This window comes from Homo sapiens, chromosome 7, assembly GCF_000001405.40.
Source record: "Homo sapiens chromosome 7, GRCh38.p14 Primary Assembly".
Classification (NCBI taxonomy): Eukaryota; Metazoa; Chordata; class Mammalia; order Primates; family Hominidae; genus Homo; species Homo sapiens.
The window spans coordinates 24,944,138-24,963,574 of record NC_000007.14 but is presented as its reverse complement, the minus strand read 5'-3'; the positions used below and the strand labels follow the sequence as shown (position 1 = coordinate 24,963,574).

The window sequence follows — 19,437 nt, the reverse complement described above, 5'->3', positions numbered from 1 at the left end:
GGGTCCTTGTGCATAGGCAGTCAGATGCGCACTCAGCCAGATGTGCTACTGTCTGCCCTGGGCAGATGTCAGCAAAAAAGGGAAAGTGGGTTGGCCGGATTCTTGGTGGAGGCTGCCATGGTGAGTCTGTGTTGCCTGGTTGGAATGGTGTTTTGTCATGGTGAACCAATTACAGACCCACAGAGTGGCACTGCTGACATCAGCATTTTGCAGCTGTGGTTTGACCACATGACTGGCCTCTGTGTTCTGGGGAAGTTGGCAGAAGAGTGGCTTTTAGACTCCAACACCCCCTTCTTTGGTTTCTGTTCCTTTCCATGGGGGAGGATGAATTCAAGAAAGAAGTGAATTCAAGCAGCAAACCCCTCAGATTTCACTTTATCCTGTGAGCTCCTGACATCCACAAAAATAGAACTGAGCAGACAGGTTTTTAGTGCTCTAAAGGCCCAATCAACCTGGTATTAGGATCGGGTGTGAAAAATCAGTTATGCCAAGAAGCTTATTTTCCTTTGTAAGCGGAAATAATTCAGTCATCAAAAAGTTCTGAAGATGCAGGGAATAATAAGGGACAACCTTATTTCATATTCATGTCTCAGAATGTTACATTTCAAAAATATTTAAAAACTTTTTATTATAATTGAGGGTGGGCACTCTGGCTGAAGAATTATTCCTATAAAGGGTTTTAAAAGAATTCAACAATGGTGCTGTATTAGGGCATTTGTTTGCAAGTGACAGAAACTCATCCAGCATAAGGACAGTGTAAAAGAAAATTTATTGGCTTATGTTGCTAAAACGTCCAAAAGTAGTGCTAGCTTCAGGCACGGCTGGACCTAGGGGCAAGTCATGCCATTAAAGACCTGTTTCTTGCCATGTCTTAGCCTGTTTTCACATGACTTCATTCTCAAGCAGGCTTTCTCTGTGTGTCTCTTAGCTACAGGCTTGTTTCCTATATGCCTAGCAAATATTAGTTCTACAGATGATTCTTGGCTCTGGTTGTTCCCACCTGGGTCGTGTGCCTAATCCTGAACCAGCTACTGGGGCCAGAGTTGTCAGGGCTGTTACTGGCCAGGCATGGGCCAAGCGTCTCCTCTGCTCTCCTCCTCTCTCCTCCTCTCTCCTCCTCTCTCCTCCTCTCTCCTCCTCTCTCCTCTCCCCTCCCCTCCCCTCCCTTCTGCCCTCCCCTCCCCCCTCCCCTCTCCTCTCCTTTCTTTTTCTTTTTCTTTCTTTGCTGTCTTTCTTATCTTTCTTGTCTTTCTGTCTTTCTTTCTTTATTTCTGATAGAGTTTCACTCTCGTCGCCCAGGCTGGAGTGTAATGGCATGATCTTGGCTCACTGCAACCTCCGCCTCCCAGGTTCAAGCGATTCTCCTGCCTCAGCCTCCCGAGTAGCTGGGATTACAGGCATGCCCCACCATGCCTGGCTAATTTTTGTATTATTAGTAGAGATGGTGTTTCACCATGTTGGCCAGGCTGGTCTCGAACTCCTGACCTCAAGTGATCCACCCACCTCAGCCTCCCAAAATGCTGGAATTACAGGTGTGAGCCACTGAATGTCTCTTTATTAAACAACAGGAAGGTTGATGTGCTGGTACCAAAATGGGGAGTTGGTTGGGCAGACAAAAATAATGTATGTCTGTCCTTTATGATGTTGTGAACACTGAGGATAAATGCTTGATGAATGAGTAAATGGCCAGCTCGATGCTATCCATGCATTTGTTTATTTAGTCCTTTACCAAGTTATACTCATTTATTGTATGGACTTTTGAGCCCTTCTAGAGAGATCTCCTTGTTTAATGCACTATGCTGACTGCCAGTCCTTGGTGCGCCCTGTCTTAGTGTGTTCAGACTGCTATAATAAAATGCCAGAAATGGGGAAGTTTATGAACAATAGAAATTTGTATCATTCAGTTCTGGAGGCTGGGAAGTCCAATATCAAGGCACCAGCAGATCTGGTGTCTGGTGAGGGCCTGCATTATCATAGAGGGCACCTTCTAGCTGTGTCCTCTAAATGGTGGATGGGGCATGGCAGCTCTCTGGGAGCTTTTTTGTGGGAGCGCTAATGCCATACAGGAGGGCTCCATTCTTAAATCACCTCTCAAAGGCCCCATCTCTGAATACCATCACCTTGGGGGTGAGAATCTCAACATATGGTTTTTGTGGGGTACATAAACATTCAGACCATAGCAGGACCTCAGCAGATGCTTCTTCTTGTTAATTTCAAGGTTAATTTCAACTAGATGTGGCTAGATCATGGTGAGCCTCTCTCCCCTGATCCTAGTCAGATACTGGTCTAATACTAACCAGGTCAGTATTAGACAGTTTATGATTGGTTTTGGCTGAATGGTCAGCCAAAAGACCATCTTTATTAAAGACATAGATGTCCTTAATAAATCTGCTTTGCTGTTGTGGGGAAAGAAGGTATCTTCCTTTTTCCCTTCATGCCATTCTTAGCTTACATTGTTAGTGGTTAATTCTAATCCTTCCTTTTGTAAGGGGGAGAAGAATTTTTTTTAAAAAAATCATTACATGAACAAAGAATTGTTCCAGGTTTAAAAAAATTATTTCGAAGTTTAATTATTCATATCCCTTGCTGGTTTTCCTTGTTGCTACCTGCCTTTTGCAAATTTCACTGCTTATTAGAACCACTTCCCGAAGGTGGGCAAGGTAAGATCGAGGGGTGTAATTAAAACCTTGATAGCATCCTATCTTTTTTCTTATTTCTTTTTGGAGGGACTATGTACTTGGTGATACTTCTGTGCAAAACCAGTTTTGTACATTGACCAAGATGAACTGTGATGGATTATCTATGAAATTCAGTTAATTATCTTTTTGTGTTTCCTTTTACAACAGGAAGTTTAAAGTTGGCTGTGAAGTCACCCCTGGTGACTGGTGGTCACCTAGACTTCACATCTTTTTATTTTTCTTTCCTTTTGAGTTTTGTTGGGATCAAATTAAAAATGAATGAATGCCAGGTTCAGAAGAGGGTAAGTGTTTGGGCCTGTTCATCTGTCTCGGAGTGCCTGTTCTATATTTCACAGCCCAATGGAAAAGATTTTTAAAAATCTGCCTCCATTAGCACAGATAATTGAGTTTTCGATATATTGATTTTGTGTTGTCCAGCTTCCACATTTATTTCTGCTCTGCTTGACTAGCTTAGCACCATCAATTTATTTTCCTATTTTTAATCTCCAAAGTATTTGTACGTGGGTTGTGGTCAAGATTCATAAAAACCATTTTGATTAGGTTTCTCATTCATTTATATACCACACTAGCGGGGCATGCCTTTGTATTATGAGAATATTTTTAGAAGACTAATGAGGTGGAAGGATCTGTGTTTCATTTCTCTTAGTTTCCCTCTATTCAGACACCTGCAGTTGCCATTGATTACTCCTCCTGTGGTACTCTCACACTCTCTTTGTCTGTTGTGCAGTGTTATAAAATAATATTGGGAGGGAAGCTGGGTGCTGAGGCATATATCTGCATTGGAATAAATAATTGGTTTTTTTCTTAGTAGTTCAACAGAAGGTTCATTTAAGAGTAATAGCTATTTTGGTACCATTTAAGGAAATTCTTTTCTTTTATCTTTCTCTGCAATCTTTGCCTACTCTCAGTAGCTGATCTCTGTTGGTCACCTCACTTTATTCTTAATCAAAAAATTTGAATACCATTTGTGACTCATGCATTGTTTCGGAAATAGAAAATTCTTTTTTGTTCAAGTTCGGTTTTCAGTGGTAGGCTCTTTGGTCAAACCAGTCCAGGTCAGCTGGGTTTTACAAGTGGCCGATAAGCATGTCAGCATTTAGAAAAACATTTATTCCTGAATGGCATTTTAAAAGGAATATATTTTCTTTTGGAAGTTTCACCTATTGATTTATTTTAGGAACATTTTTGTTAAAGTATAATATGCCTGCAGAAAAGTATACAAAGCATCAACATATAATCTAATGAGTTTTCAGAAGATAAATAACCTGTGTAACCAGCGTCCAGAACAAGAAACAGGTGATTACCAGCTCTTCCGAAGTCGCTATCCCTACCCGCAATGGGTAATTTCCATCCTGATTTGTAACACCATCAGATTAGCTTTGCTTGTTTTTGTAACTTATGTAAATTGACTCATGTTAACGCTTTAGGTCTGTGAGAGTCACTCATATTTTGATGTGTGGTTTTTAGTTTGTTTATTCCTATTGCTGTTAGAATCGCATTGTGTTAATATGCCAAAATTTATTTATCCATTCTACTATTGATAAACATTTGTTTTTTTTTCTGTTTGGGGTTTTTATGATTAGTGCTGCTGTGAATATTCTCGTACATAACTTTTGGTGAACAAATGTGTGCGTTTTTATTGAGTATATACCAAGGAGTAGAATTGCTGGGTCACAGAGTTAACATATGTTTAGCTTCAGTTGATTCCCCCAAACAGTTTTCCAAAATGGTTGTGCCCATTTACGTTTCTTCCAGCAGTTTATGATAGTTCTAGTTGCTCTACATCTGTACTTGTTCTTTTCTTTTTTATTTTAGCCATTCTAGTGAATGTTTAAAACTTACAATTCATGGATTATAGAAAAGAAGTCTGTAATCCCCTTAATACTTTGATCTTAGTTAGGTCCTTTAGTCATTCAAGTCCCAGCCAGAATTTCAGTGTTAAAACAAACATTAAACAAAAAACTTAGAGAAAAGATGATCAGCATTTAAGTGGTGATATGGATGTCTAGGCCAAAGAACAAGTCTGCAGATCTTCACTTTATTTTATTATCCCCATCACTAGATTTACAATATTGGTTTGGAAGTTGAAAACCACATATGCAGTTAGAAATGCAGTCTTTTTAATTCAGTCTTCCATGCCACATTAATTGAGTGAATGTGCTGAATATCACAGGGAATGCTAAGATGAAGAATATAATCTGGACCTTCAAGAAGTTCATATGTGTACATGGCAGAGTGAAGTGATACTGTTATGAAGTGTTAAAAATGCTCCCTAGGCACTCTTGAGGAAGGAGTGATTAAGTCCTATGAGAGGAGTACAGGAACACTTCATAAACATTGAAATGCCTTTGAACTTGACTGTCAAGAAATTTTGTAAGTGAAGTTGGAAGTAATGGGCATTTCCCAAAATGTAGCCCATTTGGAGAATAGCAAATGGCTCAGAGTAGTTGGATCATAGAATGTGCAGAGTAATACAAAGGAAGAAAGTTAAAGGGCATGAAATAGATTTTCTTAATATTCAAAGAGAGACTATCAATCAAAAAAAGCCAAAAAACCTCATTAGAAAAAGCAATTAAAACACATGGAGATAGCATTTTTTACTATCCTATTGACTGAGATTTAACAACAGTGTTTAATAAGAGATTTATATTGATCAGCATGTGGAGAAATGGTCTTCATTTATGGCTGGCAGGAGAGTAAATTGCTCTAAACCTCTATGGAGGACAATCTGGCAATCTTTTTAAAAATTGAAAACGTGCATACTTTTTGACCCAACAATTCTCCTTTTAGAAGTGTACCTTACAAAAATGCTTATATGTGAGCAAAAGATTATGACAGTAAAAGACTGGAAATAACCTAAATGTGGGAGAATGTTAAGTAAATAATGGCTTATATAGAGAATGGGGGAGCTTCCTCCTTATTGATATGGAACAGTCTCTAAAATTTATTGTTAAATGGAAAAAAGAATGTGTAAAACAGTGTATGATGGCATTTATGCAAAAACTGGGAAATGAACATGTTTCTGATAAAACAAGTACAGAATTGATTATATTAATTGCTTCCTGAGAGAACAAGATCATGGAGGACTTGAATTCTAGTCTGTTTTTTAGGTTTTATTGAATTCATCTGAGTGCCCTCCCTCCTTTTTGGTTGCTGTTCTCACAGTAACCAAGTGAGGAAGCAGTTTTTATTTGTGTTTTACAGATGAGAAAGTTGAGACTCAGGAATTTAAGCAAAATAATTCAGTGGTTGATATTAGAGAACATTAAGTGTATTATTTAAGAAATAACTTACATTTACTATATTTTGTTAGTAAAAGGACAAAAAGCAAAACAAGTTGAAGCGTAGTGATTGGAGACATGTTTATTATCAATTTTATCTGGATCCTTACCTGAGTACCCTATTACCACCATGATCAAATTTCAGCTGTTCAACCTAGATTAAAGCTTGGTTTCATACTCTCTATCCCTAGGTGGAAACGTTGGAATTCATTACGAAAGAAGTAATTGAGGGCTTGATAAGTTTTTGCTTAATGCAACCTGAAGATTTGTTTGTTTGGGGCATTTGGAACTGTAATCCTGTTTTTTGTTTTTTGCTTTTTTAATTGACCGGAAGGCAGGCATTGGATTTGATGGTGAGGTTTTTTTTTTTTTGTCTGTTCTGCCATGTCTCTGCAAAGTGTAGATTAATGTGACTTTAATAGTATTGGCCCCCTTCTTTTAGAGTATTAAATTCCTCTCTTATTGGAAGCAATGGGCCTATTCAAGTACAGAGACTGAAACTTTCAAGAGTGGCTTAAACAGCAGTTCTACCTACTTAGTCTTATACCTGCATAGCACCAGGCAAGGCAGATAGCATGACTTATTCTAGTTATACTGATGAGCAGACAGAACTCATGCTTGTAAAGGGATGTGCCCAAAATCTTACCACTTTAATTGATGGAACAGACAATGAATAAAAAAACTAGAAATTCAGTAGAACAAAGAGAACACATTTTAAAAAGGAATTTCAACAGACTAAAAGAACTCCATGAGAAGAAATTAATAATGGTTGAAGGGTGAAAGAGTTAAAAAAGGATAAAACCTGAATTTTCTTATAAAGAAACAAAACAGTATATCTCCATTGAAAAATAAAATTTTATTAAGGTAACACAAGTATCTAAAAGACAGATGGGAAAAACCTCAAAATGCAGAAAAAGGCCTGTTTTACAAGGAAGAATACAAAGAATCAGAAGTTTGAGGTCTAACAATGAGACTAACTTTATAAACAGAAAATCTTCCTTGATAGATGTATATATGCCTCATGTGCGTAAGACAAAGGAAGATGGCCATTTGATAGTGAAGCTATGAACATGGTAATTCTACTGCTTTACTCTTCCAGTGTTTTACTCTTCAGTTCTTCGTAACAACAAATACATGGAATGGGCAGGTGGGACATAAAGCCAGAGTAGAGAAAACTAATGCAGGATTGGTTTTTAAAAATTAGCTGTATTCTTTTCTGAGTACCCTTATCCCCTAATGAATAAAACAGTTCTATCCACTGGCATCCTTTGCGCATGTGGAAATATCTCAGAACAGGGAAGGGTTGGTTAACTGGGAGCCAGTTGGCACCTTTGAGGCTGAGTCAGGGGCAGGCTTTGCCCTGGGGCAGGCTTTGCAGTATTTCAGTCACAGAGCAGTTTTATTGAAGCTTTCATGGCTAAGTGGGTTTATGCATGATGGGAATCAGCACTGCGTTCACATCCAGATGTTGACTGTGGGTCACTTTCATCCTGGGAGGAGTCAGTGAGTATTTTCCGTGGAGACTGATCCAGGACCTGATGGAAATGGGCATTTTCATTAGTGATCTAGAATATAAAGTGGAAATTATACTCTTAGGGTTTGCATAATCTCATAGCTACAAATGAGAAACTCATAGGGTTTCCTCAGCAGGACCAAGAACTAGTTTGAGTGAAAAAGATCTGAAAGATCAGTGACTAAACTGCACAGCAGTGGCTGTGCTGAAGAAGCTCAATGATTGTATGTTTTTAAAAAACATTCATTCTGTAGATATTTATTGAATGCCTACTAATGCGTCAAGCCCCCTTGTGGGTCCAGGGGATACAACAACAAACAAAGTCCCTGCCCTCATGGAGTTTGCATTATAAGCAAATAAATATGTATGTCAGGTGATAGTAAGTGCTGTGGAGAACATTAAAGCAGGGATAAGTAGGTTAGAGTGTATAGGGGACAGGGGTGCTGCTGTTTGATTTTACATAGAAATGGCCAAAGGCCTCTCTGATAAGGTGACATTTGAGCAGAAACCTGAAAAAAGAGGGGAAGCACAGACTGCACAAACATCTACTTAGAGAAAACAAGAAGTGCAAAGGCCCTGAGGCCACCCCAGTAGCCTCTCCTCCACAGAACAGCCAGGGAGAATCACTAGAATGGAAGCTCTGTGAGAGCAGGAACAACATGTATCTTGTCTACCACTGTATTCCCAGCACTGGAAAAATTCCCAGCGCATTGTAAGTGCTCAGTATATTTTTGTTGTTGGAATAGATTAATTGCTAAATGACATGGTAGCCCCCAAACTCATTATGGGAAAAGTTTGCTTTCTTCCTTGTTGGTGGGGAATTAACTGGTAAATTAACCTGCTACTGGCTTTCAGCAAATTCATGAATGATTGAACTATAACTTTATTAATTCAAAAATAATTTTTTGGAAGTCTGTTATGTGCCAGACACTGTTCAAATGTTGGTAATATGTATAGTAGTGAACAAAAGAAAATCCCTGCTTTCATGAAACTTGAGATAAGGCTAACTCCGTGGCAGAGTTGACAAATGGTCAGATACTGAGAATCAAGAGGTAACCAAGGCACATTATGGATCTTTGAGGCTGTGATTATGGAGGGCATGATCACATTTCCCTTGCCTGCCCTGTTTGCTCACCCTCTACTCCATCCTTAGATCCATTCCTTTAGTACTGTCAGCATGAACCCTTGGCCAGAAGGACCACTTATCAGACCCCATGGGATACTTTTTATGCTCTTTCCAAAAAACCTTTTCAAAGTGTCTTCCACCTTTATGATTTCTAGGTAATGTGGTTTTGTCATCATATTCCTGCTAAAAATTTCCAGGTTTGAAATTAAAGAGAGGGTCAATGCAAAACGACTTTTTGTTTGTTTAGGGTCCACATCTTTAATTCTTTTCAACGTACTGTTGGAAGAACCTAAGTTTATTTGTAGGAGATGGGGTCAGGAGGATTGCAGACTTGCCTTTTTACATCTTGGCCCCCTCTGTCCCCACACCTTTTTTTTTTCTGATTTGTGTGAGAATTGACCAGGCAGCACTGAGTAACATGGTTGGGATAGAGAGAGTGCTGTTTGTCTAAACACTTTGTTTGCAGCAGAAATGCCAAGGTTAACTGGGTCTCTCGTGGATATGATTATATGAATTGAAGCAGTGTAGATGATTCTTGGCATAAGAGTAGCTATAACAACATTCTTAATTATATAGAACTTTTAAAGCTATTTTGGTCTGATACCTTACCTTGGGACTGAAAGATTTTGACATCCTTATGGAGAAAGGATTAAAAAGTAAGCCTCTCTTGGTGCAGAGAATAAATAACTTCACGTCTAAAAATACCTTAATATGCAAAAAGAAAAAAAATTAATCCAAAGTGTTTGGACAGACTTTTCAGCACAGCCAGATGATTCCTGGTGCTCAGGAGAGTACTTTGGCTTGAGTGATTCTGTGTTTGGACATTATTGCTACTTTGTTTGCCTGCATGAAAAAGATAGTTTTGGGAGAAAGTAGAAGAGTGGAATATCATGAAAGAGGAAGGAAGGTCTTGGATGAAGAGCTTCACAGGGCCTGTTTGGAGCTGCCACTTCCAGTGTACCCAGACCCCTTTCTCTCAGTTTGTTCTAAGGTTCATCTGGTGATTGAGAAAGTGTTCCAGACTGTTGATCATCATTGTGATGATTACCATAAGGATTATTTTCTTCATGAGCTGTTTTGTCTCACATTTTGTAGCAAAAGCTATTCCTGGGATACATGCTGCCTGCTTCTAGTTCATGCCGTTGAACATTTAATGGAGAGTCAGGCATTGACCATTTATTAAATGGAGCTCCAGTTGTGCCTTGATCTAAGTGACTTGGAGTTCTATTTTCATTCATTTGTTCAGCGTTTACTGGGCACCTACTGTACCAGGATCTGAAATAGGTAGTGGATACAAATCTGCAGCTTCTGTTTAGAGTAAGCTTCCTTCCCTGTCTGAACTGTTTGATCACTGATACAATCTGACTGCTTCCTAATGTGCCTAATTCTTTTTCTGATGATCTATTTAGTTTTCATACTGAGAGTAATAATGAATGTTCAATTAATAAACTTTTATTTAAGATGATTATTCAAGTCTGATTACAATTCAGCAGATACGTAATACTTTTTTTTTTAACACAATACTTTAATAAGACACATTTAAACTCAACTTCTGAGCAGCCTTTCTGGCAGGGATAGGAAATTAGAACCTGCTGGTATAATTTTTTTTGAAAGAAACCCCAGGGAAGAGTTGCTTGGTTAGGAAAGATGGGGCTTACTCCTTGGCAGAGCTGACAAATGATGGCATATTGAGAATTGAACTATAGATGGGTTGCCAGAATAATTAAAGTGATGAAGCAAAACTACTTAAGTGAAGGCTTTAATCTTTTAAGATAGTATTATTAGCAAAAGCCCAGAGTATGTATTTATTTACCTTTTAGAGACGGGGTCTCACTCTGTCGTCCAGGCTGGAGCACAGTGGTGTGATCATGGCTCACTGCAACCTTGAAATCCTAGGCTCAAGTGACCCTCCTATCCTAGTCTCTCAAGTAGGTGGGACTACAAGCATGCACCACCATGCCTGGCTAATTTTTAGATTTTTTTGTAGAGACAGTGTCTTGCTGTGTTGCCCAGGCTGGTCTTGAACTCCTGGGCTCCAGGGATCCTACCACCTCTGCCCCCTAAAGTGCTGAGATTACAGGCATTGGCCATCCCAGAGTTATTTTAAATGAGATTGGGGAGGGGAAGCGGGGTTGATAGGGAATTGGGTAGGGAAATATTTTAAATCTGGGAACCTTGATGGTACTCTTGTTTATAGATTCAGCTGATGGTTTGCATATTGGTAGGGCAGGCCTAGAATCCTGGAAATAACCTTACCATAATCTCTATAGAGTTGATGTAATGCACAGTTAAGAATGTTGCAGGATTTTGCATGTGAATATACATATGCCTGGCATGAACCGTATTGAGATACATGATAAATTTGAGTACCTAGTCTCCAAAGGTGGCTCATATGAGCATCTTTCCATATTTATAGAGCAACATCTAAAATTTCATCCAATTTCAGGATATTCTTTAAGGGTATTACAAATAATATTTTAGACATGTTAGATTAGACCATACCTTCTGAGGTTTCTGAGGTTTCGGTTTGCTACAGGGCATTGTATTGAATGTCAGGAGACCTAGATAACCGGTATATGATTAGTGATTACATGACATTGGGCAAAACTTGAGCCTTGTGGGCCTCAGTTTCTCTGTCCTTAAAATAAAAAGTTGGACTATTTATGTTGTGCTTAGCTTCTTAATTTTTTTTCTTAATTCTGTTTAGATTACAGATCCTAACCCACATGAAATATCAGCCTATTGAGCAGAATTTTGTGCATCATTTCAGTGTCTGGGTAGTTCAAGTGCCTCCTGCCTATTGCATTCCAAGACTAAGACTTTACTCAAAGTCTGAGCTCCTTTTTTGAAGCTTGAAAGAATGGCCGGTGGGGAGGCCCCTCTACATTCATTCGTGTTCTTCCTTTTAGTTATTAGATGTTATAATCCAGTTAATAATATCCCCAAGAAGTGTTGCTGTCAACAGTACTAGAGCTCTCTACAGTCTCATTCATGTTGGAATAAAATGATTCCTTTTTATGTTTTAAAAAAAAGAAAACATTTGAGGTCTCACTGGAAGTGTTTATTCATTTGAGCTGAAAGATGTACCGTGGGTGTTGTGATTTTGGAGAGCTTCTGCAGCAGGTTTATGTCTAGAATGTTTTGTCCCTGTTTGTGTTTGTTTAGACTGAAATTAATAGTTTTTCTTGCAAGCTATGAGGATCATTAATACAGGTTTCTCCCCCGTGGTGTGTTTGTCAGCCCTTACATGGAAGAACAAAATGAAAGAATATTTCTTGTTTTAAGCTCAAAGCTTACGTCTTTACCATTAAATTGGGGAACTTGGGGGAAGAAAATCCTGTGTGTGTGGGTAGGGGGAAGGGATTTGTGTATATGCACAATAATTAAGTTTAAGTCATAAATACTAATAGTCTTCTGGCTTTTGTAAACCAGATTTCTTTCCTGGATCTAAAAGTGTTTTTATTTTTTGTGCCCACATCTGTAGTCATGGATTTGATGTATATATTTAATAACATTCAGTGATTTATTTTTCGGTTCACCTTTTTCATTTTTCCCCTTTCTTTTTACCAGAAGGAATATGAAGTTACATATAAATTCTGCATAATTGAAAAAGTGATTTTGATTTACTTTTTACTTGAGCAAGGAGTTGCTTTTACTTAAAGGCATTTTTATTTTTAAGAAATTTGAAAAAACCCCACTTAAGGATCCACTTACATTAGGCCACTAGCAAATATTTTTAGATAAGATTTTGATTGATTTCTTTCAGTCTGATTCCATAATCTCAAATTTCTTCGTTTCTTTTCTCCTACTTTCCATCCTCTTGATGCTACAATCAATAATTTGATTTGGGAGATTCTTTCTTTTTGTTGGGGCTGGTGGTGGGGAGGGAGATCGTTGTTTTGAATATTAAATGATCATTTAATGGGGCTTTGACACAATATCATATAAATGCAACTTTAATCCATTCATTCAGATTTAAGGCTTAGCTTTATATAAAATATGAAGCTTAATTTTTTTTTTCAACTCAAGTTCAGTCTCCTCTGATTTTGTAACAGACTTCTAACTGTTGAGCATTGACTTTAAACAGTCCTCTGTGGTGACTTGAGTTCCAAATTACATAACCACTTTAATTCTGCACTAATTTGTTCTGAATGACCCTCTTTCTTTCATTTCACCCTTAACATCTTTGGCTAAGAAATTTTACATGTTTTTGTTTTGTTTTGTTTTGTTTTTTGAGACGGAGTCTCACTCTGTTGCCCAGGCTGGAGTGCAGTGGCACGATCTCCGCTCACTGCAAGCTTCGCCTCTTGGGTTCGTGCCATTCTCCTGCCTCAGCCGCCCAAGTAGCTGGGACTACAGGCACCCGCCACCGCGCCTGGCTAATTTTTTGTATTTTTAGTAGAGACGGGGTTTCACCATGTTAGCCAGGATGGTTTCGATCTCCTGACCTCGTGATCCGCCCGCCTCGGCCTCCCAAAGTGCTGGGATTACAGGCGTGAGCCACCGCGCCCGGCCTACATGTTTTGTGTATTGAACTAAATAGTTTCTGTTTTTCCCTTTTGAGACCTTTGATGAGTTTAACTCTTTCTATATTTCTTGGATTTCAAGTTGTAAGCCCTAGTTATAAGGACTTAAATGAATATTGATACAGGCATTTCGATTCTCTAGAGATCTGCTTTCACCAATATGTGTGTGTGTGTGTTTGTGTGTATTTTTGTATGCACATGTCAACGTGGATGGATATTTGTTCCTGGAGCCTTAATTGCATTACTAATGTTTATTCTGGTAAAGAAAGGCAGTGTGGCAAAATGACATGTTTTCTTAGGAGCTTTTGTGCTGGCACTCCATGCTGTTATGAATACTTTTTATGACCTGGCTTATGAATCTAATCATTTATAATAGCATTTCTGTGGGGAAAACAATGGATTGCAAATTCCAAGCTGTTGACTTATAAACATATTTTTGAAGCATGAAGTATTGATAAATTGGAGACTGTTGAAATAGTCCATAAGGCCTGGGCTTAGTTTGGGGCCCATGAAAGCAGAGCCTGAAGCAAGGAGTTGGGTGCAAATAATTTATTTGGGAGGTGATCTTAGGAAGCAGCGCTGAGGGAGCGGGGAGAGAGGCAGGGAAGGAGAAAGTCAATAATAACAGAGTGTGTTATAGTTAGAGCATTTACACAGCCATCCCTGTACCCCTCTGCTTGAGGTTGTGCACTGGGCCATTTGTACTTCCGCCTTTCTGGGTCACTCTTGCCTTCAGGCTGAGTTGATGCCACCCAGCTTCAAAGAAGGCTCTGGGGACAAAAGAGACACTTATGCTGTCTTTAGTGGGAGCTGTCAGCTTGAGGCCACCCTACTCTGAACTCCCCGCCATGGCAATGGCTGAAATCAGAGGTGGGTGGAGGGAATATGACAAGGGGACATCAAGAGGATCTGCTGCCAACATCCAAAATGGATTGATTATATACAGTTCAGCTAACCTATTTCATTGAATCAAAGACTGTCAATTGTAAGATCCCCCATTAATTTATGTACCACTAAGAAAGAAAATGTCCCACTGAGGAAGGAAAATATGCTGCCAGGTAAACTATGATGGCTGTTAAATGTGAGACACACCCAATGTCAGAGATATTAAAATATGAGAAAGAGTGTGTTCCAGACTTGGTGGAACACAGTATGTGATGAATACTGTGAAGCTATGCTGTAGGTCTGTATGTCATATTATGGAAAGATGTCAGGAATACATTGTTAAATGAAAATGGCAGGTTATACAGTGTGTAAAATGTGGTTCTGTTAACGTGAATAAGCAAATTGATAAATTCTAGGTGAATTTACGCTCAACTACTAATATGAATTCTCCCCAGTGTGGTGAGATTACTCACAATGTTTTCATGGTGAGATACGCCTGGTGTGACACAGTTTACAAAGGAAAAATAAAGAAGTAGAAGTCTAGAGACATCATGATATGCAGACTCTTTTGATAAGTCATTAACATCATAAAAGCCAGATCTAAAACCTCCTCCTGGAAATTGTTTAATTAATTTCTGTTTCTGTTGACTAGGAGCAGTGTTGTTATTACGAACAACTGATTTCCTGTGATGACTCATAATTCAGCCATATACTTTGTATCCACACCTCGGAAGAGCTTGTCCTGAGGGACCTCCATCTACCCTCTCAGTTAAGATACTTCTGATGTCTTTCTTCACTCTTCATGACAGAGGGCTTAGTGAGATTAGCTGGCTTCAGTATTAGCCTAGGTAGACAAATACCAAGTAAAGATGTAGAATTAAGGATCCTGAGATTTTTAATAGATGATTTGGGAATTATTTACTCAAAGAAAAGATGGAGACATCCTCTTCCATAGAATGGATAATAGAATAGGGCTGGAAGAAGGTATTGCATTATCACCCAATCCTATACACCATCTGATTCTGTAATCTACACAACTTTGCTGATGGACATCATTTAGCCTCTGAAAGCTTTTTCAGTGACTCAGTACCATTGCATGAAACCCATTCCAGCTGTGAGCTATCAAATTGTTAGAAGGGTCTTTTTAAAAAAAAAATGAGGTAAATCTGCTTGCTTTGACTTCCACCTGTAAGCCATAGGTCTACCTTCTGAAGTATTAATAGAAAAGTTTAATTCTTTTGTATAGAAGTACTTCAGCTATTTCCTCTGAAGTAGAATAAGTCTGATGTCTTCTGTACAACAATGCTTCAAATATTTGAAAATACTTTTCTGTCTTCTCCTAAGACTTTCTTTTTAGGCTATCATTCCCAGACTTGAAACCACTTGAGAATCTTCTCTCTCTCGCTTTGTCTTCCGTAGCCAAGGGAGACCGTTTCTCTGTGATGTGTCCTTGTTGTTAGCTCCAGCTCAAGGGATTTCTATATAGGTCTGTGAGCTTGCTGTATGGTATATGATAGGTCGTCTTAGTTTGATTTTTTTATTTCTTGAAAAAGATTTAGAAATGAACATTGGATTAAAAAAATCATTCTTAAAGCTTAATCTGTGATATAATCTCTTGCATCTTTGGCACACAGTGAATGGATAGAGCTCTTTGGGGACATTATATTGTTCCCCTGTACAGTGTCAAATTACCAACACCGATCACAGAATCTGGCACATGGGTAGTATGCAATGAGTGTGTGTGTGTGTGTGTGTGTGTGTGTGTGATTTAATTGGATATGTATGTATACATATATACACATGCATATATTACTTGTGTTCAGATTATAGTTTAGTTTGTAGCATATTTCTAATGTTCAAATTTCAATAAATACTGTGCTATCTACTCAGAAATAGTGATTCCTAGATATTTTTGGCAATATTTGGCTTCCTTCTTACCCATATAGATAAGTTGTTGGTATGGTTAGGGATTAAATATTATGCTAAAAATGTTACTTTGAAATTCATTTCTTGATAGGGACTGAGGAAAGGTAGTTTCTGTGAAATAAAAATATGCAGCTTTCAGGGGTAGTCACGTGGGGAGCAAAAGCAGCAGTCAGGAGTGATGCTCTGGAGGCTTCTGGTGCCTGGGTAAAGCCAGGCTGCACACATGCTGTGAGCTGATTCCTTCTGTAGCCATTGAACTCTACCTGGAAGAGCTTTATTCAGAGAATTTCCTAGCTGTCTTTTTTTCTATGTTAATACATTTTTGGCAGGAGGATAGTGAATAGTGACATCCCACACATTTATAGGAACTCAGTTTTGCTTTTATTTTCTAAATCCTTTGTTATGGAATTATAGAAGGCTTTCTTAGAAGGGACCTTAGAATCTTAGAACCTCCATCTGTTGTTTTACTCCTTTCTACAACACCTTGACTTGACCATCATCAAGGATGGGGCACTCCTGACTTTGTTTTTAGACAGCTCTATGCCTTGCTAGAACTCAGCAGTCCAGCCTTCTGTGGTACAGATTGTTTTCTTTGTTGTACAATTTAAAGACATGAAAGCGGCAAGAATAATGAACAATAATGCTTATCCTTTTCGTTTTGAGCACAAGCCAAACAGCAAACCTTTATTGGATTCCTGATGAGTGTTGTGGGAAAGAAAAAGAGTTAAGACAGTTCTTATCCTCACAAAGCAGATGATATAGATGGAGTCAATTTCTCTCTCTCCTCACTCTCCTCTTTCTCTTTCTCCCACACATCCCTGCTACTTCAGCTCATGAATCCAAAGCATATGATAAAAAATGATGTGAGCAGAGGAGGGAGAAATGTTTGCCACATGGAGTGGATAAGATGGACCTGAGCCTGCCCTTCTTAATGGCAGGACTCTGGTGGTGTGGCCTTTTGTTGCTTAGGAGTCCAAAGTCCAAAAGCAGCTTTGTAACCCTCTTGTTAGGCTAATAATTCAGTTAAGCTTAGCGTATTCAACAAAACAAGATACTTGTACTGAGCAAAATAACAGATAATGTCTGTTACTTCCCTCTTAATGTCTCATATCTAAAATATAGTCTTCTACCTAAACACATTTTTTTAACTAATGGAAACTTACCCCTTTAAGCACTGTGGAAGTTTTAAAAACTGACCAGAAGTTCTTTCATTGATAGGTGAGGTCTGTGTACCCTTCTCTTAAATACGAGTTGGTTTGTGTCTGCTCCAACCAATAAAAGTACGGCAAAAATAACGCTATGTGACAACTTAGTAGTCTAGGTTGTAAAAGGCTGTGCAATTTCTGCTTACTTCTCTTGGGACATTAGCTCTGACCATGCTAACTGCCAAGTAGAAGTATGGCTACTCTGAGATTCTATGCTGGAGAAACCATGTGTAGGTGACCCAGCCAGCAGCCCCAGCTGAGCTCCCAGCTGAGCTCCCAGCTGACAGCCGGCATTGACTACCAGCCTTGGGAGGGAGCCACCTAGGACACCTACCCAGCTGAGCCTTCAGATGACTCTAGCCCCACCTAGCTCCAGCCCCACCTGGCATCTGATTGCCATCAAATGAGAGACCCTGAGCCAGAGCTGCCCAGCCCAGCCTTTCCTGAATTCTTCACCATTTAAATTATGAGCCAGATAAAATAGCTGCTATGTTTTGGGGTACTTTGTTACTTAACAATACTAACTGGAACAAGTACTAAGAAATAAAAATGTTTGAAATCAACTGTTTATGCATCACTCTAAAATGTATTCTCCACTGTATTCTTTCTTTGAACAGAGCCTTAACATAATTCGAACCTCTTATGAACGAACAATCAGCATCTTACCTCTTACATTGTGATTAATGTAGTTATGTCCTCAAGCTATAAAATGAGTTGCAAAGGGACTCTAGACTGCTTAGCTTTTCAGGGTCTTACGTGTACTTCTATTTTTTTCCCCTTGCTGCCAGTAATCATTTCACCGTATCAGAGTGTGCCACTTTCAACATGTTCAACCACATTTGGAATCATTGTGTTCAAATTCAGATACTGCCCTTCGTGCAGGATGTTTTCAACAAGTATTTAGTGAGTGCTTACTTTGTGTCTGGCCTTGTTCTAGGTGCTAGATGAGATGTTAAGCTTTAAGATAGCAGTGATTTTTGTCACTGATATATCTCCAATTCCTAGAATAATATCAATACCTGGTGTCACTAAGTCTATGTTGAATGAATAAATATACAGGACACTGTGTTAGGTGGTCAGAGCACATACTCATGATGGATTCTGCCATTAGAAGAGTGAATAGGATGGAGAAAGAACTGGAAACCATGTTGTGGGAGAATGAATGAATTAAATGGAGATGTTTAGCCTGGAAAAAAGAAGGGTTGATTGAAGGAGGGAAGGATTATCATGTGGAAGAGAAATGGTACTAGATTTGAAATGAAGTGTTTTTCTTTTTTATTTGTTCCTTTATTATCAAGTGATAATATTACTTAAGATAATATAGGTGGTAAACTCCACCCAAGACTTGATACTCAAGTAATCAAATTTTGAGTAGGGTTTGCCACCAAAGGACCTGGCAGTGGCGGTTTTGGTTTAAGAATGCTGCTTTCTCAAATACGAGGAAAAATCTAGTCATGGAATCTATCAGGAAAAGAAAATCAGATGTTAACTCCATTGGGCCAGAATTATTGTTTCCTGTTTTCTGGTTTCTAAAATATTTTTTGAGAATGATGTGGTTGTTCATTCATTTAAAATGTCACTATTAAAGCAAATGAGAAGGGCCTTATAGAGGAGTTATGTACTTTGCTAGATAAGAAAAATACAAATACCATATTGTGGTACAAACCTTTGGATAAAATAGCACATACAGAAGAACCTTTGACATTCCTTCTCTTTTGAAAGGGAGAGGATAATTTGGTTTATTGAGATTTTATATTCTTAAACATCACCATGGCATTTTTTTTTTTTTGGAGTCTCGCTCTTTCACCCAAGATGGAGTGCAGTGGCGCAATCTCAGCTCACTGCAACCTCCGCCTCCTGGGTTCAAGTGATTCTCCTGCCTCAGCCTCCTGAGTAGCTGGGATTACAGGTACGTGCCACCATGCCCGGCTAATTTTTTTTGTATTTTTAGTAGAGACGGGGTTTCGCCATGTTGGTTAGGATGGTCTTGAACTCCTGACCTTCCGATCTGCCTGCCTTGGCCTCCCAAAGTGCTGGGATTACAGGCGTGAGCCACCGCGCCCGGCCACCATGGCATTTTTAACACTTGGAGTTTCTTCTTAACATCACCAACTTAGTCCCAGTAATGATCAGGTAAGTTTAAAGCAAATGAGAAAATAGAAGCCTTTGCTCAAAGTCTCACAATAACTTTAGGAGGTGTTACAGCCACTATTGTAACCAGACATCTTATTTTAGAATATGAAGAATCCAGTAATCTCTTCAAGTCAAGATAACTT

The 19,437-nt window shown here is 38.8% G+C and overlaps 1 protein-coding gene across 24 annotated transcripts in view, besides 1 other annotated feature; it reads left to right on the top strand.

The window, feature by feature from the left end:
• Positions 1–19,437, top strand: part of OSBPL3 (oxysterol binding protein like 3) — a 185,309-nt gene that overhangs the window by 18,271 nt on the left and 147,601 nt on the right. Inside the window, exon 1 of one of the 24 annotated variants that reach the window (XM_047420149.1) lies at positions 13,164–14,798. The exons of 22 other annotated variants lie outside the window; for them this stretch is intronic. The gene's annotated coding sequence lies outside the window, so the exon portion shown is untranslated. Of the gene's footprint in view, positions 1–13,163; positions 14,799–19,437 lie in introns of those variants that run through there. One more of the 24 variants, XM_047420138.1, reaches the window with a different exon arrangement.
• Positions 12,470–12,969: an enhancer, noted in NCBI's record as "H3K4me1 hESC enhancer chr7:24990225-24990724 (GRCh37/hg19 assembly coordinates)". NCBI's record gives its function as "activates a minimal SCP1, AML or CMV promoter by ChIP-STARR-seq in naive H9 embryonic stem cells {active_cell/tissue: H9 hESC(naive)}" and the evidence as "EXISTENCE:reporter gene assay evidence [ECO:0000049][PMID:30033119]".